Below are 23447 nucleotides of genomic sequence, written 5' to 3'. Positions count from 1 at the left end.
ATGGCACAACTTATCAAAACTTCTGGGATACAGCAAAACTGGTGCTAAGAGGAAAGTTTATAGCATTAAATGCCTACGTCAAAAAGTCTGAAAGAACACAAATAGAAAACCTAATGTCATACCTGAAGGAACTAGAGAAACAAGAACAAACTAAACTGAAACTCAGCAGAAGAAAAGAAATAACAAAGATGGAAGAGAACTAAATGAAATTGAAACAAAAAATACAAAAGATAAATGAAATGAAAAGCTGGTTCTTTGAAATGATAAACAAAGTTGATGACCATTAGGGAGATTAACCAAGAAGAGAAAAGATTCATATAACCTCAAGTAGAAATGAAACTGGAGATAGTACAACCAATACCACAGAAATACACAAGATCATTCAAGGATGTTATAAACACCTTTACATGCACAGACTAGAAAGTCTAGAGGAGATGAATAAACTCCTGGAAATATACAACCCTCCTAGACTAAATCAGGAAGAAATAGAAACCTTGAACAGACCAATAACAAGCAGCAAGATTGATCAGTGATTAAAAAAACAAAACAAAACACTGCCAACAAAAAAAGAATCGAGAACCAGATGGATTAACAGTTGAAATCTATCAGACATTCAAAGAAGAACTGGTTATCAATCCTACTGGAACTATTCCAAAAGATAGAGAAAGAGGGAATCCTCCATAAATCAGTCTATGAAGCCAGTATCACCCTAATACCAAAAGGAGGAGAGGACATAACAAAGCAAACAAACTACAAACCAATATCCCCGAACATAGATGCAAAAATCCCCAACAAAATACTAGCTAACTGAATCCAACAGCATATGAAAAAGATAATGCATCATGAACAAGTGGGTTTTATATCAGGGATGCAAGGATGGTTTAACATACACAAGTCAATAAATGTGATACATCACATAAACAAAATTAAAAACTATACGATTATATCAATAGGTGTGAATCCCTCTTTAAATGTTTGGTAGAGTTAATCAGAGAAGCTATCTGGTCCTGAACTTTTTTGTTGTTGGTGGTAAGTTTTAATTACTGATTGAATTACTTCACTTGTTATAGGTCTATTCAGATTTTCTATTCTCGAGTCAATTTTGATAGATTGTGTGTTTCTAGGAATTTGCTAATTTCATCTAGGTTATCTAACTTGTTGGCATAAAATAGTTTGTAATTTTTTTTTTTTTTTTTGAGACGGAGTCTTGCTCTGTCACCCAGGCTGGAGTGCAGTGGCGCAATCTCGGCTCACTGCAGCCTCTGCCTCCCAAGTTCAAGCGATTCTCCTGCCTCAGCCTCCCAAGTAACTGGGATTACAGGCACCTGCCACCACAACTGGCTAATTTTTGTACTTTCAGTAGAGGCGGGGTTTCACCATGTTGGCCAGGCTGGTCTCAAACTCCTGACCTCAGGTGATCTGCCCGCCTTGGCCTCCCAAAGTGCTGGGATTACAGGCGTGAGCCACCACACCTGGCCTGAGCAATGATTTGACTACATTCATAATTTGGGTATATCATGTTTTCATTTTCATTTGGCTCAAAATATTTTCTAATATCCCTTATAACTTTTTATTTGACCTATAGGCTGCTTAAAATTGTGTTAATTTCTACATATTTGTAAATTTTCTAGTTTTTCTTCTGTTATTGATTTTTAGTTTCATTCTGTATTTGTCAGAGAAGATAATTTACATAACTTTATCTTTTTACATTTATTGAAACTTGTTTTATGGCCTACCCTGACACATGATCCACGTGCTTTGTGTATTTTGCAATTGTTTGGTGGAGTATTTTCTTTTTTTTTTCTTTTTGAGACGTAGTCTTGCTCTGTCGCCCAGGCTGGAGTGCAGTGCCGCAGATCTCGGCTCACTGCAAGCTCCGCCTCCCGGGTTCACGCCATTCTCCTGCCTCAGACTCCAAAGTAGCTGGGACTACAGGTGCCCGCCACCACACCTGGCTAATTTTTTTCTTGTATTCTTTAGTAGAGACGGGGTTTCACCGTGTTAGCCAGGATGGTCTTGATGTCCTGACCTCGTGATCAGCCCGCCTCGGCCTCCCAAAGTGCTGGGATTACAGGCATGAGCCACCGCGCCTGGCCTCGGTGGAGTATTTTCTATATGTCTGTTAGGTCTTGTTGATTTACAGTGTTTTTCAAGTCCTCTATTTCTTTATTGATCTTCTGTCTAGATGTTCTATCTGTTATTGAAAGTGACTGTTTGAGTCCATTTAGTGTTGCTGTAACAGACTACCTGTGACTGGGTAATTTATAAAGAGAAGAGGTTTACTTGGCCCATGATTCTGGTGACTTGAAGGTTCAAGATTGAGCAGCTGCATCTAGTGAGGGCCTCCCTCATGCTGCTTCCACTCATGGCAGAAAGTGGATGGGGTGTGGGCGTGTGCAAAGAGATCACGTGGTGAAAAAGAAAGCAAGAGAGAGAGAGATACACCCACTGACCCAAACACCTCCCAGTGGGCTCCTCCGTTTAGCACTGTTACATGGAGGAACAAGTTTCCACATGAGCTTTGGCAAGGCCAGGCCACATTCAAGTGATATGGGGCATATAATTTGCCAAATGCAGTGGGGTATTGAAGTCTCCAACAATTATTGTAGTACTATCTACTTCTTCCTTCAAGTCTATCGATGTTTGTTTCATGTATTTTGGAGTTCTGATTTTTGGTATCTATACAGTTATAAGTATTTTATATTCTTGATAAATTTATGAGTTATCAATATATAATGACCTTAATTCATTTCTTGTAACAATTTTTGACTTTGTTTATTTTTGCTTTGCGTATCTACTATAAGTTTTTATTTTGTAGTTACCATTAGGCTTACATAAAACCTCTTATAACGGACTGTTTATATTTGGTAACAACTTAACTTTGATCACATAGAAAAAAGTCTCCACTTTTACTCCATCCCCTTGCCCCCAATTTATGCTTTGATGTCATAATTTATATTTTTAATTGTATATCCCTTAGCAAATTATTATAGCTATTATTTTTAATACATATTTATTTAATCTTCATACTAAAGACACAGATGATTTACTTACCATCACTGCAGTATTAGAATATTCTGAATTTGACTGTGTACTTACTTTTAGCAGTGAGTTTTATACTTTCTCATGTTTCCATGACACCAATGAGCATTCTTTTCTTTCTTTCAGCCTGAAGAGCTTCCTTTAGGATTTCTTGTGAGACAAGTCAGCTTTTATTTGTCTGGAAAAGTCTTTATCTCACTTTTATTTGTGAAGAACTGCTTTGGCAGGTACAGTATTCTTAGTTGGCATATTTTTTTCTTTGAGGCTTTGAATATATCATCTTGCTCTCTCCTGCCATGTAAGGTTTTTGCTAAGAAATATGCTGCTAGCCTTATTGGAACTCTCATATATGTGATTTATTTCTATTCTCTTGCTGCTTTTAGGATTCTCTCTTTGTCTTTGATTTTTGATAGTTTGATTATAATACATTTTGTTATAGTCTTGTTTGGATAGAATCTGATTGGAGACATTTGGTCCTTATACCTTGATATTATTCCCCAGGTTTAAGAATTTTTTAGTGATTATTTCTTTAAACAATGTTGTCCTAGGGGCTGGGTGTGTGGGTGTTGGCCTGGAGTCTAGGACCATTAGGGTTGACCTTTGTCTGGGGGCTCCAGGTGCTGGCCTGAAACCTGAGTCTACAGGGGTCATCTTGGAGCCTGGGTCCATGGGGGCTAATCCAGTGCTGGAGTCTGCCAGGAAGAAACTGGGCTGTGGGTCTGCTGTAATGTGTGGCTGCAGGGGAAAATATGAAGAGTGGGTCTGTGGGTGCCTGTTTGGAGATGAGAGCTGTAGCGGTTGGCCTGGTTCTTGGGTAGGTCTGAATCCTGGGACCATGGGGACCAGCCTGGTGCTGCAAGCAGTCCAGAGCCTTTGGCTGCCTGGCCCTGGGGTGGGCCTAGAGCCTGAGTCTGTGGGGGATAGCCTGGAGTTGGGGTTTGTCCAAAGTCTGGGGCTACTGATCAGCTACAGTCAGGCTACTACTCCAACTGTCCTTTCTATCTCTTTAGTGCATCCTTTCTGAAATCTCCTACCTGGTTTCCTTAGTTCTTGTGAAGGTGGTTTTATGCATGGATAGTTGTTCCAATTGATGTTTCTGCAGGGGAGCAAGAGCTAGAAAGTCCTATTCACCATCTTCCTTACAGCCTTCTGCCCCAAGGCTGCAGTACTCTTCAATCACATGTTTTATGTTACCTCTTTCTTTTCTCCAGCCATTTGGAAATAATTACCAAGAGCTACTTTTTTTGGCCAGGTATGCAATTTTTGTGAACCAATGCTGTTCTAACTGATTCTAACTCAAGAGGCGAGAAAAGCCCAGATGCCCCTAATTGGATCCATGGTTGTACTGTGCTGTATTTCCAGGACTTGTGCAAAGTTTAATACTATTACTCATCAGTTTTATTTTACCTCCTATTTTTCTCATTCTTTGCATGGATTTACGGAGACACTTTCCTGACTTTTTCATTGTGGGCTGTGTTGTAGTCACCTTGGATTGATCTCTGGCCCTTTGGTCATTGTGTGCTTTGAGTCTGCATGGTGAGTCCCAGTTTTATTTCATGCATGAGCTTCATTGACAGAAAATCATTATACCTTATTTCCTTGCTTCATGCTTGGAAGATGTGGATTTGGCCTTCATATTCCTGACTGGATACTTTAAATGAGTCAGATGCATCTGCTTTAGATAGGTATTGACTAAGGAGAAGTAAGGGAATAATCTGTAAAACTCAACCCAAAATGAAGTCTTTTTTCTTGCTAGAGGCATATTATTTATTTGGATAGATTAAGATTTTCCTCTACATGTTTAAGAAGTTAATCTCAATTTGGATGTGATTAGTAATAATTTCAAATCTATATTTCACTTGAGTTTCTTGCAGTGTAATTATGTTTGTTGTCTGTTTGGGAATACTAAAACAATCATTTTATTGTAGTATATTTAATACTTTTACCATATTTCTTCTTACTTAAACGAATACATATAAATAACAACCATGAGAATCTCAAGCATATTTGAAATATTTTAATATCATTATGAAAGTAGAAAGATAAAATTAGAGTGCTCCAAAAATATTTAAAAATTCTAGTCCAATATCCTCATTTAGAGAAAGAAACCGAGGCCCAGAAATGTAAAAGCAAGTGAATAAAATTAGTGGTATGGCCAGAATTAGGTACTTTGTTCATGAAAATATTTAGACATTTTTGAGGTGAGTTAGGACTGGCAGGGCACGGAGGGACACTGTTGTCATAAAACTATGAAGGACCTACCAAGGAAAAAATACCTCTAGGGGTCTCTGTTTATTGAGTTCTAAAAAAATACCCATACTATATTTGGTTGGCTAATAACATATAAATGGATTTTAATTGGTAAGTGTTTGGGGCATTTCTTTTTCTCTGTTCTTTCCCTTCCTTCTCCACACATCTATCCCAAGGCACAGGCATTTTATTTTGCATTTTGGACCTGCTGTCTGTTTGACAGTGTCCTCTTTTGATTTATTTATTATTGTTGTTTGCAAAGAAGAGGGAAATTTTGAAGCATGAACTTGCTGTGCTACCTTGATTTGGAGGTCTCCTGGCCCAGTGTGGAAAAAGTTAAAATCATCTGACATATGTTTATATATATTTAAGCATCTCAGTTGGCTTCATTTGTGCAATGAGGTCCCAAGATCCACTCAAACTCCTACTTACATACAGGAAAGAAAAACATCTGCTGCTTTGACTAAAAGTTCCTCCTGGCCTTCCCTGTGAAACTCAGGTGAAACCTCCAGCCAACAGAATTGTAACAGAGTCATTCTATTACACCAAGAAGCCTGTGAGCTCACAGGGGGAGGAAATACTGCAGCAGGATATGCAGTTGGGAGGATCTTCCTGCCCACAAGAAAATACAAAAAAAGTGGAATTAATCATCTTCATCTTTTCACAGAATTTGCTAAGAAATTAAATTCAAATTAACACACTCATAGTTTTTGCCTACCATGTTCAAAACACTCCTGGTGCTTATGAGAGACGTGGTCTTTTAGAGGGCACAGTTACCATAAGGCAGCCACACCAGCAGGCTGGGTACTTACATTAATGATAAACCTATTATGCTCTTTCCCCATGAAAACAGATCTGGACCCTCACCTCCCCCACTACCGCTGTCACAGGCTCCTGGAATTTCCCTCTCTCACCCCTACCCTTCACCACTTTTGTGAATGTTCCTCAATCTGACTCCATCTTCCATCAGTCTTCTCCTCTTCAAACCCTTTCTCTGTGCTCTGTGGAATTCCTGATCAGTATAGTTTTCATATAGACATCCTTTACTTAAACCTTCTCTCCCATTTCTTGCCTTAATTGAAAATTGGCCTCTCTCTAGTCATCATCCCCCCTCCAATTCCATAGGCCTCATTACGACTTCCAAATCATTTCTTCTTTTTCTACCCTTGAAAAGCCTGGCACCTCTGATGTTTGTACCACTTACCAGTGTCACAATATTACCATATTACCCTCTTTGTGTTAGAGCTTCCCAGAGAAACAAAGCCAATAGGACACACACACACACGCACACACCCGCACACACATACACACACACACAAGTGTATTTATAATTAAATAAGAAATATATAGATATGACGGCCAGGCGCGGTGGCTCACGCCTGTAATCCCAGCACTTTGGGAGGCCAAGGAGGGCAGATCACGAGGTCAGGAGATCGAGACCATCCTGGCTAACATGGTGAAACCCCATCTCTACTAAAAATACAAAAAAAATTAGCCGGACATGGTGGTGGGCGCCTGTAGTCCCAGCTACTTGGGAGGCTGAGGCAGGAGAATGGCGTCAACCCGGGAGGCAGAGCTTGCAGTGAGCCGAGATCACACCACTGCACTCCAGCCTGGGCGACAGAGAGAGATTCCGTCTCGGAAAAAAAAAAAAAGAAAGAAAGAAAGATATATATGTGACAAAGTTCTCATTTCTATAATTTGTCTTGTGGCTGTAGTTAGTGTTTATAATTAGCTTCTTCCTTTAACAGTTCACTATTGCTGTTTCCTCCGGTAAGCCCTCTAGCACTACATGGCTCTTTGCTTTACGTGGTGGCCCAAACCTTCATTCCTGAAGGGTCTAGGCCATGAGTGTTCCTGCCTGGATTGGTTTGTTGTAGTTTTCCATCAACCTTAACCACCAGGCATGATAATATTGAAAGGTGCCTCGAGGGACCTCCTATGTTCCAGACATACTCTTCTTTATCTCCATTGTGGAATAGTAGTCCAATTTTCTCTTGGTAGTCAGGATTAATCACCCCAACCAGCACAATAACTCCCTTCTTTGCCAGTTGATTCAGAGGCATGAGTAACCCAAAGTGGCCAGGTGACTTTCTTAACCTCCAGTTCAGTAGAGTCGTTGTTGCGTCTCCTGGTGGGAGCATTCATCCCTCTGTTACTATAACCTCTAGGTAGTTACTATATCCTCTATAGTAGAGCATAAGATTGTGAAAACAGGAAGTCAACATTTGCTACTGAGTTGCTAGGGGTAATGGTGAGTGGTTTTCCAACACAATGAAGTCTTAGGCAGTATACCACTCCGAAATCACTTGATCAGAGATTTCCAGCACTCACTGGGGGCATTTCTGAAATTGTGGAGGCTGAGAATCTTCTGTCTTGTGTCTGTAAGACAGAGACCCAGGAAAGCTGGTGGTATAGTTCCAGTCTGAGTCCGAAAGCCTGAGAATCAGGAGCACTGATGGTGTAAGTCTGAGTTCAAGGACAGAAACCAAGCAATGTCCTGGATCAAGCAGTCAGGCAGGGAAAGGCAGAGACAGAATTCTCACTTCCTCTGACATTTTTGTTCTATTCAAGTCCTCAGTGGATTGGATGGGGCCCACTCACATTGAGGAGGGCAATCTGCCTTACTCAGTACGCCAATTAAAAAGTTAATGAGATATATACCTCTTTTGAAAACACCCTCACAGACATGCCCAGAAATGTTTAACCCACTATCTGGGCATCCTGTGGCCCAGTCAAGCTGACACATGACAGTAACCGTCACACTCATCCTCCTCCCTTCGAACTGCTTTCTCACTGCCCCTCAGTGACTGGAGCCATTAGCACCTCTCTGCTTCACCTCTCATCTCATCTCTCAAAGCCACGTTTAAAATGTTACTGTATACATTACATGTCTTTGTGAAAATCAGTATGCTGAGCTATGGAGAAAAAAAGTATTTCAGAGAAGTGTGAAACAAACTGAAATTTAAAATTTAAAACATTACATGAATTGTGGATTATCAGAATTCACTTAAAATATTTCCATAGGTAAAAGAGAATGCTTGATTATGTCACATTTAAATACTGTTCTTTAGTTTTTATTTTAATCGGGACAATTTACATTAAGCACTGGTAAAGCAATTTCAAAATTTCTGTAGGTTAAAACAACAAAGGGGCTAGGCGCAGTGACTCATGCCTGTAATCCCAGCACTTTGGGAGGCCGAGGCGGGTAGATCATGAGGTCAGGAGTTTGAGACCAGCCTGGCCAACATGGTGAAACTCCTTCTCACTAAAAATACAAAAATTAGCCGGGTGTGGTGGCGGGCGCCTGTAATCCCAGCTACTTGGAAGGCTGAGGCAGGAAAATTGCTTGAACCTGGGAAACAGAGGTTGCAGTGAGCTGAGATTTTGCCGCTGCACTCTAGCCTGGGTGACAGAGCAAGACTCCGTCTCAAAAAAAAAAAGAAAAAAAAAAAGGATTATTTCTCATTCATGCTAGATGTCCAGTGAGGGTGGATGGGGAGCTCTGTTTCACACTGACACTCAGGAGTCTAGGCTGACAACGGCTCCATCCTCTTGTCACTGCTTCTGGTGGAATTTGTGGCCTTTCTGGTCGCTGCAGCAGGAGAAAGAGAACAGAGAACCACACTGGGACTTTGACAGCATTGGCCTCACTTTTGCTCACATTTCATTGATCAGAACTAGTCATGAGGCCCTGCCTAATGTTAAGGGCTGGGAAATGCAGGCTTGCCTATGCACAAGCATCACTACTGCCCAGCAGAGTCTTTTTTTTTTTTTTTTTTAAGACAGAGTCTCCCTCTGTCACCCAGGCTGGAGTGCAGTGGTGCCATCTCAGCTCACTGCAAGCTACACCTCCTGAGTTCATGCCATTCTCCTGCCTCAGCCTCCCAAGTAGCCCGCCACCACACCCGGCTAATTTTGTTTTTGTATTTTTTTTAGTAGAGATGGGGTTTCACCGTGTTAGCCAGGATGGTCTCCATCTCCTAACCTCATGATCCGCCTGCCTTGGCCTCCCAAAGTGCTGGGATTGCAGGCGTGAGCCACCACGCCCAGCCTGCCCAGCACAGTCTTGTTAAACAGCTCTCATGTCCTGTGGAGTCCTGTCATGACACATGGGAACATGCGTGTCATGATAGGACTCCACATATAGGACTCCACATATAGGAGTAAAGGAGAAACGTGAGTTGATCAGTGAAATGAAGATGAAGGACAGGGTGAACCTCAGAGCCTGAGGTTGAAGGTTAAGTCTGTGATATCAGCAAGCATGTGGAAAGAACACACTTTCCTGGTGGAGGCACATGTGGAGGCTTTGATGGGCAATCAGGAGGTTTTAGGACAGCTGTGAGCAGTTCTGCTTTTTTTTTTTTTTTTTTTTTTTTTTTTTTGAGACAGAGTCTCGCTCTGTCTCCCAGGCTGGAGTGCAGTGGCTGGATCTCGGCTCACTGCAAGCTCCGCCTCCTGGGTTCACGCCATTCTCCTGCCTCAGCCTCCAGAGTAGCTGGGACTACAGGCACCCGCCACCACACCCGGCTAATTTTTTGTATTTTCAGTAGAGAAGGGGTTTCACCGTGTTAGCCAGGATGGTCTGGATCTCCTGACCTCGTGATCCGCCCACCTCAGCCTCCCAAAGTGCTGGGATTACAGGAGTGAGCCATCGTGCCCAGCCTGTTGGGTCACATTTTATAATACATTTGCTGAGGTCTATTTTGTGATCTGTGAGTATGCACTGTGGTGGTGGCAGTAAAATACATCAGTGGGAGTTTTCCTGCAGAGCTCTTGATCCATGCGGGGTGTATCACAATTGCACAGTAAATATTGATTTCATTGAGAAGAAAGAAAAATCTGATAAGAAATAAAATGAACCAATAAATATTTTCTCTACGTATGTGTGGTAGACAGAATTCGCAATGTGATCCCATGATTTCATACCCGAATCCCTCAGAGCCCACAAGAATAGGGAATCCCATGACTATGTTGTGTCATATGGCACAGTTGACTGTAGAGTAGGGACACTATCTGGTGGGCTTAATGTCATCACACAGTTTCGAAGCAGAGTGTTTTTTTTGACTGGTAGAAGAAGTCAGAGAGATTCAGAGTATGAGAATGACGCAGTGTGTACTGCTGTTCAGAAACGGAGGGAGCCAAGAGAGCAGGAATGAGGGTGGCCTGAAGGGTGCAAGACAGGTCCTGGCTGGCAGCCAACAAGGAAACCAGGACCCCAGTCCTCCAATGCCAGGAATTTAATCCTGCCAATAGCAGGAGTAAGCTTGGAAGAGGAGCCTGGGGTCTAGGGAAGAAAACATTAACTTACATCTTTATTTCAGCCTTGTGAGACTGAGCAGGCGGTCCAGCCGCTGCATCCTGGAATTCTTGCCATTATCACACTCGTATGTGAAATAATAAAACCGTGTGTTAGCTTCTGTATTGAATAAACTGAATAAACTTCTCAACTTTGCTTTCCTTCTCCAGTTTCCTCTCCCCACCCCTACAGTATCATTCTTTATGGAAGACATATTAAATTTCTCTTTAAAACAACATTGCTTTGAAATATAAAAAACAGCATATGTCAACTGTTTTTTTACAATAAGAAGTACTATAACCAGACTTTTTTAAAAAAATGATATTATCCTGCTTAGCTCACAAAAACATTTTGATTATTTGGGCTGTTAAATTTTACGTGTCATGTTCAGTAAATCAATTAGGTTCTTAAGAAATCTCCTGCAGATTGTCAGATTGAAGAGATCATAACCCAGAAGGAAATAAGCCTGCACTCCTAAGACAATCAGTGCTTCTAATGAGAAAAGTGACTGACAGATAAGGTGGGAAGATTGGCCTCACCTCATGGGGCAGCTCTGCTGTTCTTGCCCATCCTGATGTTTTTGGATAACAAGGAAAGTGTATTCAATTTTTTAGCTCCCCCTTTTAAAAAAGCAGTGGAAGCTTGTAATCAAAGACAATCATGTTGGGGTCCGGTAGGAGTCACCCCATCGCATTCATCACACTCATCAACCAAAGGGAGGAGGCCTCTCCCTGAGTTCCTGCTTGAGGAACATGGCTGGAAAAGTAGGGAGAATGGAAGCTGATGCCAAAAACAAAAACAGGAGAGAGAAAGAAATGCCTCTGTTTGGTGCTTCGAAACACTCGATTTAATCTGTGCATGTAGGTGGGGAAAGCATTTGTCCATTTTTAATTTCTGTAGTTAATCCAGGAGCCTCCAGAATAGGCTTATGGTTTGGAGTGACCTTGAATGGTGACAAGAGTATATTTTATTTGCATGGCTCTCCCCACTTTACCAATTACTTTCTCATAGGAGTCGCTTGTTTCTCACCCATGAAATTGTTAGGTTTTGTTAACTTTTCAGTCTTGAGATTAGAAGAGGCTTTAATGTGCTAGAAGCACAACTGCACTTTTGATTCATGAATTTTTTTTTTTTTTTTTGAGACGGATTCTCGCTCTGTCGCCCAGGCTGGAGTGCAGTAGGGCGATCTCGGCTCATTGCAAGCTCCGTCTCCTGGGTTCAGCCATTCTCCTGCCTCAGCCTCCTGAGTAGCTGGGACTACAGGCACCCACCACCACGCCTGGCTAATTTTTTTTGTATTTTTTTAGTAGAGACGGGGTTTCACCGTGTTAGCCAGGATGGTCTGGATCTCCTGACCTTGTGATCTGCTTACCTCGGCCTCCCAAAGTGCTGGGATTACAGGCGTGAGCCACCGCACCCAGCCGATTCATGAATTTTCTATTCAGTTTCCAGCCTCTTCTGGAACACATTCAGCAATGGAGAGCTCCCTGCCTTTTGTAACTCTGGAGAGTTCAAGTTAATCCATTTATTGTTTGCTAGAAAATATAACCTTTTGAAAATATTTTCTTACTTTCCATTTTATTATTTATTTATTATTATTATTATTTGAGATGGAATCTCGCTCTGTCACCAGGCTGTAGTGCAGTGGTGCAATCTCGGCTCACTGCAACCTCCTCCTCCTAGGTTCAAGCAATTCTTCTGCCTCAGCCTCCCAAGTAGCTGGGACTACAGGTGTGTGCCACCACGCCCAGCTAGTGTGTGTGTGTGTGTGTGTGTGTGTTTGGTAGAGACGGGGTTTCACCATGTTGGCCAGGATGGTCTCAATCTCTTGACCTCCTGATCCACCTGCCTCGGCCTCCCAAAGTGCTGGGATTACAGGTGTGAGCCACTGCACCCAGGCCATTTTATCTTTTAACTGTCTGCAACAAAGACAGAAAATGACACCAACCTAAATCATTCCTGTTAGAGTTCAGGACCATCATCTCCCAAACTTTGGAGTGTCTGATTCCCTGTAGTCAATATGCAACGAGATTTCAGGCAAGTATTGTTTGAGGTCGACAGTAACTGTATCCAAAAGTTACCTTCCTAAACATATACAATTGTTTTAGAAATAAATGCCTACATTTTCTTTGAGTACCTGGGCTAACTGATGAAATCGGCCTTTCTGCCTCACCTTACAAAGGTACTTTACAAAGTTTGGGATTAATGTTGAGATGGGAAATCAACCCACACTAGATGCAAAAAAGCAGAGCTCACTGCCTGAAAATGTGAGGTGTGAGGCTATTCAATGGTTGTAATAAAAAATAAAAAATAAAAAAGATCAATGAAAGTGGGCTTAGAAGGGCCAGTGTCCAGGCAGCTCTGCTGTGGGAACTGTAGAATCCGGGTCATGGGAATGAGGAAGGAAAATGACTTGGGTATATTCCACAGAGTGGATCCTATTTTCAGAACATGCTTTCATTTCTTTTTGCATTTGACAGTTTATACTCAAGAATAAAATAGTCACCTCAAGGGCGTTAGGGAAGCAGAAGCCTAGGAGAGCCCGAGTGACACCATTTTAACATCAGCTCCGTCTTCAAGTTAGCAGGGTGCATTCCTTGCCAGTCATGACTCATGGTCCTAACATGTTCACATCCAAGGAAAGAGTGTGGTAATGCCTGCAAGGACAAACTCCTACAATAACAGGCAGTCCAGATGTCCCAATGCCCATAACAATATATGCTTTCAAGATAGTTGTAGTTACGCTTTGATGTACTCGTACACTAAAATGTCAAGGATCGTTTTCTTTAAATCAATAGAATAATAAATTTTGTCATTCTGTCAGTCCACCTGCACATAGGCAAAGCTTAGTTTATTCTTTACATAAAGAAGATGTATATGTAAGAAAAACTTAAAACAAAGATGGGGCATTCCTGTTCTTGCTTTCTGAGGATACCTTACTCTATAACCTAGAGGCTTTCAATAAACTCTCCCTTCCCACTTTATTCTGCAACTCACCTTGAATTCTTTCCTGTGTAAGATCCAAGAACACTCTCTTGGGGTTTGTATCAAGATCCCTTTTCTGGTAAAAAAGAGGATGCAAAAATTCAGCTACAACAAAAATAGACATGGGTTATTTTTCCTAAAAAGATTGCACTTGTCTGTTGCCATTGGAGGAATGTATCCGATGTTGTCAAATGTCAAACAAGACTCAGAGGACCTGACAACTCATATTTTGGAAGCTGGTTCTCTTTGGAATACAGAATTTTAAAAGGCTTGAAGCAGTACTCTTGAGTAATATGGAGAGTAGATAGATGATGGAGAGCAGAGAGAATGATTTAGGTTTGTGCCATTTTCTATCTTTCTTGCAGACAGTTAAAAGATAAAATGGAAAGTGAGAAAATATTTTCAAAATAATTACTCTTTATACTCACAATATAACCTTTTCACAATAATTCTTCTTCCTCTTCTTCTCCTCCTTCTTCTTCCTCCTCTTGTTCTTCCTCCTCTTCCTCCTCCTCTTCCTCCTCCTCCTCTTCCTCCTCTTCTTCTTCTTCTTTCGTCTTCTTCTCCTTTCTTCTTTCTTTTTTCTTCTTTCTTCTTTTCTTTTTTAGATGGAATCTTGCTCTGTCACCAGACTGGAGTGCAGTGGCATGATCTCAGCTCACTGCAACCTCCGCCTCCCAGGTTCAAGGGATTCTCCTTCCTCAGCCTCCCGAGTAGCTGGGACTACAGGCACACACCACCACGCCTAGCTAATTTTAGTATTTTTAGTAGAGACGAGGTTTCACCATGTTGGCCAGGCTGTTCTCCATCTCTTGACCTCGCGATCCACCTACCTCGGCCTCCCAAAGTGCTGGGATTACAGGCATGAGCCACCATGCCCAGCCAATAATTACTCTTTTTGTATTCCAGCAGAAAAGTTGGGATCATGGATAAACGACTTGCCCCAACTCTGGACAATGAAGCAGTGGCAACCTGTTAACACATATTAATTTTGGGTATTTCTGAAAGTTTTTTTTTTTTTTCACCTTTCTACCCTCCTGCTTTTCCCGTGAGAATGGGTGTGGTTACTCATTTGCTTACACAAATCTCATTCTTGTATCCAGTTTGATAACTGGATACTACTGAAGCTGATCTTCAGTAGTCTCGGGTGGTCCTAGTGAACCAGCTTCTCCAGACGCAGCTGTTCGCCTTCTGTTCATTCAGCATCCAAGGTGAGTCTTCAGCACTGTCTGATGCTCCAGCAGTTCATTCTGGCAGTGCTCTTACGAGAGGGATAGCGGGAGCAGGCCGGCGGCACAGGCCAGATACAGTCAGGGTCAGATGACCACCTGATGGGGAGGGTCTTCATCCACAGACTGTTCTCATTGTTTGGGGGATTCTTCCTCCTTTTTTATTCCTGTATTTAATCTGGCTTCAGTCATTAGGTGTTTCTTTCATAGAGGAATTTTAATCATATAAGGGTAAGCTTTGTTTTAAGATTCATGAAAGTGGCATATGTGCTGAGGTGGCCTAGGCAATCAGGGTTTTTAGGTCTTATTTTCATAGGGACCCAGTAATCATCTCCCGGCCAGGGCTGGAAATCCCCAGGCCAGGTTACATCATACTGCTAAGTGAAACATAGTGTAGACCCCATGAGATGTTTGAGTGGGCTTTATGGCCATCATTAATCTTACAGGCATGGGATGTTTCTTATTGTACCATACAACAGCTATCCACACTTCTCATCCACATTCTTGCAGCAATCTAATCTTCTCATACAACAGTGAGGTAAGATTACCACTCAGCCTTTGTTGTGATGACTGCCCACCTGCTACTTTAAGTTTAGCTGTGTGTGGTACTATGATTACTCTTCCTTTCAAGAACAGCATTTTCTTTCCTTTGGGATTAATGATTGCTTGTTTGGGGGGCTATACTTTATTTTTATACATTATTACTAATATTTAAACCAAATTTCTCTTAACCTGGGTTTTCTCTAAAAACAGAGCCTAGTACAAAGGTATGTAGGCATTTTATTTTATTTGGGAAGTGACTGTAGGAAACAGTAATGTGAGGGCCTGGAGAACATGACAGAGAGAAGGAAAAGCCAATTAAAAAATACATAGGGTCAGGAGATCAAGACCATCCTGGCCAACATGGTGAAGCCCTGTCTTTACTAAAAATACAAAAATTTGCCGGGTGTAGTGGCAGGTGACTGTAATCCCAGCTACTTGGGAGGCTGAGGCAGGAGAATTGCTTGACCCAGGAGGAGAAGATTACAGTAAGCCAAGATCGTGCCACTGCACTCCAGCCTGGCGACAGAGCAAGACTCTGTCTCAAAAAAAAAAAAAAAATTACATAGGGGCTCACCTCTGCAGATAGGGCTGAATACTGCTGGAACTGTTTGAGAAGCTACATGAAATGCATCCTCTTGATGGCTATTGTCCTCCAACAGAAGCAGGTTGTTTCTTTGGAGTTAATGCCTCTCCACTCCCAGGTTATGCAGACCTGTGTGCTGTGTCCTGAGAAATTTCAGTAAAGCTCATTGCAGAAAGCATTCAGGGTAGTGCAGCCATGGCTGAAGTCAAAGGGGGTTGAGAGGACCTGAGATGGGACACATGTTGGGGGAAAGGCAGTTATCTAGAGCTGGGAGGGGGACCTGGTAATGTGACTCCTGGCAATGTCCTTTACATGGTCCTTTCTCTCAAGTGTACCTAATGTCATCAATTCCTGAACTTTGGGAGTGGGACCATTTCATATAATTCGAACCTCTTCTACACGTGATATAAACTACTAAGTCAATGGCACATATCCATCTTTTTTTCCAGATCCCCAAGTTCCTGTTTTCTCTTCTTTCATCCTTATGGGTTTATTATGTTTTTTACAAAGACAACCCCCTTATTGTCATCTTAGTGGCATTTCAGGGGTAAGTAGAATGAAAGGCATGCTTCCTATCTGCTCTCTTGAATCTACATATACTCTTTTGGGTTTTAAACCTTTTAGAGAAAAAAACTTCCATGGTATATGCCTCTTAACAAAGATCTTACATGAATAGGCCAAAAAACTCAGTTTTTGTCCAGCTAATAATTGAATTGTAACCAAACGAAACCAGCCAGCTTGCTATAGAATTATTTTAATAGGGCATACACTGTACGCTTTTTGTTTCTGCACATTTTTACACTTGCAGATATTATACACGGAATTTTATATTCTTCCTGTTCAGTTAACATTCTGTGTATATCTTCTCTTTTCTACATGATTAAAAAAATGTTATTCGGCCGGGCGCGGTGGCTCACGCCTGTAATCCCAGCACTTTGGGAGGCCGAGGCAGGCGGATCACGAGGTCAGGAAATCGAGACCATCCTGGCTAACACGGTGAAACCTCGTCTCTACTAAAAATACAAAAAAATTAGCCGGGCACGGTGGCGGGCGCCTGTAGTCCCAGCTACTCGGGAGGCTGAGGCAGGAGAATGGCGTGAACCTGGGAGGCAGAGCTTGCAGTGAGCCGAGATCGCGCCGCTGCATTCCAGCCTGGGCGACAGAAGGAGACTCCGTCTCAAAAAACAAACAAACAAACAAAAATTATTCTACACCCCTCTTCTATCCTATTTCCTGTTTTTACATCCGCTCTCCCCTCCCGCTTCTGAGTCTCCAGTGTCCTTTATACCACACTATGCCTTTGCCTACCCATATTAGCTTATAAGTGAGAATATATGGTTTTGGTTTTCTATTCTGAGTTACTTCACATTTCAAATGGAGTTGTTTTCTTAACTTCATTCACTTAGTGCTCACTGCGAGTGTATAGTAATACAATTAATTGTTTAATATTGATTTTTATCCCTCAAACTTGCTGAACTCATTTATTAGGAATCGTTTTCTGGGGTATTCTTTTGGATTATACGTATACAAAATTTGGGTAAACCGTAAGTAACTGATGTTACAATCTGTTGTGCTCATTCAGTACTTTTCCCTAAGCCCAATCACACATTAAACAAACACAGAGTTCCTTTTAGTTCCTGCCTAAGCACTGAGTTTTTATAATGAAAGGTGGGAAGATATGTTCTATAAGAAAAGGTTTTTTAAAAAAACAGTTTTATTGAGATATAATTTTACATTCCATAATATTCACCCATTTAAAGTATGTAATTTAATGTTTTTTACTATATTCACAGTTTTGTAAAACCATTACCATTATTCAACTTTAGAATACTTCTATTTCCCTTAAAAGAAACCCCATGCTCGTTAGCAGTCACTTGCTATTCTCCTCTCCTTCCCCACTTCACCAACTCCTCACCTCTCTACCCGAAGTAACCACTAATCTACCTGCTTATTCTGGGCATTTAATAGAATTGGAACCATGCAATATATGGTCTTTTGTGGCTGGCTGCTTTTACTTAGTATAATGCTTTCAAGGTTCATCTATGTTGTAGCCTATATCAATACTTCATTTCTTTTTAAGACAGAATAATCTTTCATTGTATTTATGTACCACATTTTACTTATCCATTCATCAGGATAAATGGGCATTTTGGACATTGGGTTGTTTCAACTTCTGGCTATTAGGAATAATGCTGCTATGAACATTCATGTGCACTTTTTTTTTTTGAGAGAGTCTTGCTCTGTCGCCCAGGCTGGAGTGCAGTGGCATGATCTCTGCTCACTGCAAACCTCTGCCTCCTGGGTTCAAGTGATTCTTCTGCCTCAGCCTCCCAAATAGCTGGGACTACAGGCACGTGCCACCATGCCTGGCTAATTTTTGTATTTTTAGTAGAGATGGGGTTTCACCATATTGGCCAGGCTGCTCTCACACTCCTGACCTCATGATCTGCCTGTCTCGGCCTCCCAAAGTGCTAGGATTACAGGCGTGAGCCACCGCGCCTGGCCCATGTACACATTTGTGTCTGTGTGTGTGTGAACATGTTTCACACCTAATGGTGGAATTATTGAATCGTATTGTAATTCTATGTTTAATTTTTTGAGGAATTGTCAGTTTTCCACAATGGCTGCATCATTTCACATATTTATCAACAGTGTGTGAGGGTTTAAATGTCTTCAAATCCTTGCCAAAAGTTTTTACTGTCTGCCTTTTCGATTATAGCTGTCTTTGTAGACGTGATTTTGATTTGCATTTCCATAATGAATAGTGATGTTGAGCCAATTTTCATATGTTTGTGGATATTTGTACATCTTCTTTGGAGAGATGCCTATTTAAATCTTTTGCCTATATTGTATTTGGTTTATTTGCCTTGCTACTATTGAGAGTGGTATGATTCCTTTATATTCTGGATATAAGACCCTTATCAGATATATGGCATGCAAATATTTTATTCATTTCTGCAAGTTTTGTCTTTTTTTGATGGTATCGTTTGTAGCACGAAACTTTTAAATTTTGATGAAGTCGAATTTATTTTTTCTTTCATTGCTCGTGCTTTTGCTGTTGTACCTTAAAAATCTTTGCCTAAACCCAAGGTCAGAAAATTTCACTCCTCTATTTTCTTCTAAAAGTTTTACAGATTTTTATGCTTATACTTAGGCTTTTAATCTTTTTGAATAAGCTTTTTGTGTATGGTGTGAGATAGGGCATTGAGTTATCTAGCCACATTTGTTGAAAAGGCTCTTCTTTCTCCAAGCACTTTTATTAGAACCCTTCTGAAAAATTCATTGGCTATAAATATAATAATTTATTTTTAGATTCTCAATTCTGTTCTACTGATCTATGTGTTATTCTTATGGCCATACTACACTGTTTTTATTATTATAGCTTTGTGTTATGTTTTAAAATCATTAAACGGGAATCCTTTAAATTTATTCTTTTTCAAAATTGTTTTGGGGATTCTTGGTCCCTGAATTTTCAGAACTTTTAAGATCAGTTTGTCAGTTTCTGAAAAAGAGCTAGCTAAGATTTTGATAGAGATTGTGTTGAATCTGTAGATCAGCTTACAAAGTATGGTCATTTAACAATATTAAGTCTTTGGGAGGCTGAGGCAGGAGAATCGCTTGAACTCGAGAGGCGGGGGAGGTTTCAGTGAGCCGAGATTGTGCCATTGTACTCCAGCCTGGGCAACAAGAGTGAAACTCTGCCTCAAAACAAACAAACAAACAACAACAACAACAACAACAAAAATATTGTCTAGGTAATATCTTTCCATTTATTTAGATCTTTAATTTCTTTTAAAACTGGTTTGTAGTTTTTAGTATACAAATCTTGCAATTCTTTTGTTAAATTATACCTTAGTATTTTATTCTTTTTGATGTCATTTCAAATGGAATTGTGTATATATATATATATATATATATATATATATTTTACTTCAGTAGCTTTAGGGGTAGAAGTGGTTTTTGGATACATGGATGAATTGTGTAGTGGTGAAGTCTGAGATTTTAGTACACCTGACACCTGAGGAGTGTACATTGTACCCAGTAAGTAGTTTTTTATCCCTTCCCCTTCTGAGTCTCCAATGTTCATCATAACATTCTGTATGCTTTTGCCTACCCATAGCTTAGCTTATAAGTGAGAACATGTGGTATTTGGTTTTCTATTCCTGAATTACCTCACATGTCAAATGAAATTGTTTTCTTAATTTCATTCACTGAATGTTCATTGTTAACATATAAAAATAAAATTAATTTTTAATATTGATTTTTATCCTTCAAACTTGCTGAACTCATTAGTTCTAATAGTTTTCCGGGGTGTTCTTTTGAATTATCTGTATACAAAACTTAGGTCATGTATAAGTAGAGATAGTTTTACTTCTTCTTTTTCAATCTGGATATCTTTTGTTATTTTTATTTGACTATCTCGGCTGGCCCATCTCGTGGAGGGGATTTTTATTGTAAATTTTTTTATTAGAGAGATGTACTGTATATATTTTCCTACAGTAATTTTGAACTAATTATTCTTATAGACATCTGTATATTTTCTACTTATTTTTAGATTTCTTTTTGACTTATGGGTAAATGAAATACGTGTTTATTAATTTCCATATTTTTCTAGATATTTTTGATGTTTTTATTTTTCTCCAGATTAATGGCTTCCTTATCAGAAAATATCTGTAGATTTTCCATCATTTGAAATTTGTTGAGATTTTATTTATGGTTCAGTGTGTGCTTCTTTTTAAATAAATGTTCTGTATGTGCTTGAAAATGATGTGTATTTTGGCAGCATTTGACTGAGTGACAGTTTTATGAGGTTCAAATCTTCTAAATCCTCTTAGTTTCTTCTATTAATTAGTGATAAAAATGTGTTAAAAAGAAAAATAATCAGAGTAGAGGATTTTCTTTGTAGTTCTAGGGATGTTTTTATTTATGAGTGTTGAGGCTAGGTAATTAGATGTATATATATTATAATTATTTTATCTTCCTAATAATAACATGTCTATATTAGCTTTTATGGTTAATATTTTCCTGGTATGCCTTTTTACTTTTTAAATCATTAACCTTTCTGTATCCTAATGTTTTATATATGTCTTGTGAAAACAGGAGCAAATTGGGTTTTGTGTTATAGTCTGTTCATTTTTACTTTAAAATAAATAGTTTAGTCAGTTTATGTTTAAAACAATTACTGATATATATAGGTGTGTATTTTCCATTATATCTGTGTTCGTAGTTTATCCATGTTCCATTTTCTTTTATCTTAGGTTGTTTATATTTTCTTATCTAATTTCCCCCCTTGTAATTTAGAAGTTGTATAATATTTTTATTTTTATTGTAATAATTATAACATAGATACTATATTAATATCCATATTGTTCAGAAAAACAGAACCAACAGGACACACACACACAGTCTGAAAGCCAGCAGTCTTGAGACCTAAAAAGAATCCGTTTTTCAGTTCAAGTCTGAAGGCAGTAAAAGATGCATATCCCAGCTCCAACAGTCAGGCATGAAAGAAAAGGTCAGCTTTCTTGTTCTATTTAGGCCTTCAGCTGATTGAATGAGGCCCATTCTCATTGGGGAGCACAATCTGCCTTACTCAGTCTACTGATTCAAATGTTAATTTATCCAGAAATACTCTCACAGACACATCCAGAATAATGTTTGACCAAATGTCTGGGCACCATGTGGCCTAGTAAAGTTGAACACATAAAATTGAGCACTACAGCACTTAATTGATCAGTGTCTCAGTTAATCTGTATCTTGACCTCATACCAAATGATAAAGGAGCATTAGAAGACTCTTTTACTTTATTTTCCTTCCTCTCTTTTTATTCTGCTGTTAATAAAATTTCATTTTTTATCTTAAACATTCTACAAGGTGATGCCATTATTTTTTTCTATTTTTTATTGTGGTAAAATATACATAACATACTTTTTATCATTGTAACCATTTGTGAGTATGCAGTTCAGTAGCATTAAATATATATTTACAATGTTATATAACTATTGTTACTATCTACACCAAAAAAAAAAAATATATATATATATATATATATATATTTTATACGGAGTCTGCTCTGTCGCCCAGGCTGGAGTGCAGTGGCACGACCCCTGCTCACTGTAAGCTCTACCTCCTGGGTTCATGCCATTCTCCTGCCTCACCCTCCAGAGTAGCTGGGACTACAGGCGCCCGCCACCACGCCCGGCTAATTTTTCTGTATTTTTAATAGAGACGGGGTTTCACCATGTTCGCCAGGATGGTCTCGATCTCCTGACCTCGTGATCCGCCTGCCTCGGCCTCCCAAAGTGCTGGGATTACAGGTGTGAGCCACCGTACTTGGCCCCTACACCAAAAATTTTTATTATCCTCAACATAAACTTTGTAGTCATTAATCAATAAGTACCCATTTCCCCACTCCTTATCCTCTAGTAAGCTTGATTCTACTTTCTGTCTGTAAATTTGCCTACTCTAGGTACCTTATATACATGGCATTGTATGATATTTGTCCTGCTATATCTGCCTTATTAAACAAAGCATAATATTTTCAAGGTTCATTCATGTTGTAGCAAATATAAAAATTTTATTTCTTTTTATAGCTGAATAGTATTCCATCACAATGCCACATATTCTTTATCTATCCATCTGTTGATGGACACTTGGATTGCTTCCACCTTTTGGATGTTATGAATAATGCTGATATGAACATTAGTACACAAATACCTGCTTTAGTCCTTGCTTTCCATTGTTTTCTATACATACTTAGGAGAGGAATTGCTGAGTCATTTGGTAGTCTTAAGATTAACTATTTGAGAAACTGCCAAATTATCTTACAAAGCAGTTGCACCACATTTTACATTTCCACCCTTAATGCACGTTCCAATTTCTCCACATTCTCACCAGTATTTATTATTTTTCAATTATTATTTTTATTATTATTTGTATAGCCATCTTTGTAGGTGTGACATGGTATCTCGTGGTTTTGATTTGTATTTTTCTATCTACTAATGATGTTGGACATCTCTTTATGTATTTATTGGCTATTTGTAGGTCTTCTTTGGAGAAATGTTTATTCTAGTCGTCTGCCCATTTTTAAATGTTTGTTTGTTTGTTTTTTGTTGTTGAGTATTGCATTAGTCCGTTTTCACACTGCTATAAAGAACTACCTGAAACTGGGTAATTTATGAAGAAAAGAGGTTTAATTCACTCACAGTTTTGCATGCTTAACAGGAAGCATGACTGAGAGGCCTCAGGAAACTTACAATCATGGCGGAAGATGAAAGGGAACCAAGGACTTTCTTCACATGGTGGTAGGAGAGAAAGAGAGAGTGAAGGGGGAAGTGCCACACACTTTCAAGCAACCAGATCTTGTGAGAACTCACTCAATAGCATGAGAACAGCAAGAGGGAAGTCCACCGCCATGATTCAGTCACCTCCCACCAGGTCCCCCCGACATGTGAGGATTACGATTCAACATAAGATTTCGGTGGGGACACAGAGCCAAACCATATCAAGTATTAAG

General features: G+C 39.8%; 1 long non-coding RNA gene across 1 annotated transcript in view; it reads left to right on the top strand.

Annotated features, from left to right (window-relative positions):
- The first annotated feature begins 3117 nt into the window (after nt 1-3117).
- LOC105379452 (uncharacterized) overlaps nt 3118-23447 on the top strand; it is a 70033-nt gene continuing 49703 nt past the window's right edge. Inside the window, exon 1 of the long non-coding RNA XR_950692.3 lies at nt 3118-3269. This is a non-coding gene — a long non-coding RNA (uncharacterized LOC105379452). The remainder of the gene's footprint in view (nt 3270-23447) is intronic.

Source organism: Homo sapiens, chromosome 9, assembly GCF_000001405.40.
Source record: "Homo sapiens chromosome 9, GRCh38.p14 Primary Assembly".
NCBI lineage: Eukaryota > Metazoa > Chordata > Mammalia > Primates > Hominidae > Homo > Homo sapiens.
This window is presented reverse-complemented; position numbering and strand designations above follow the sequence as displayed.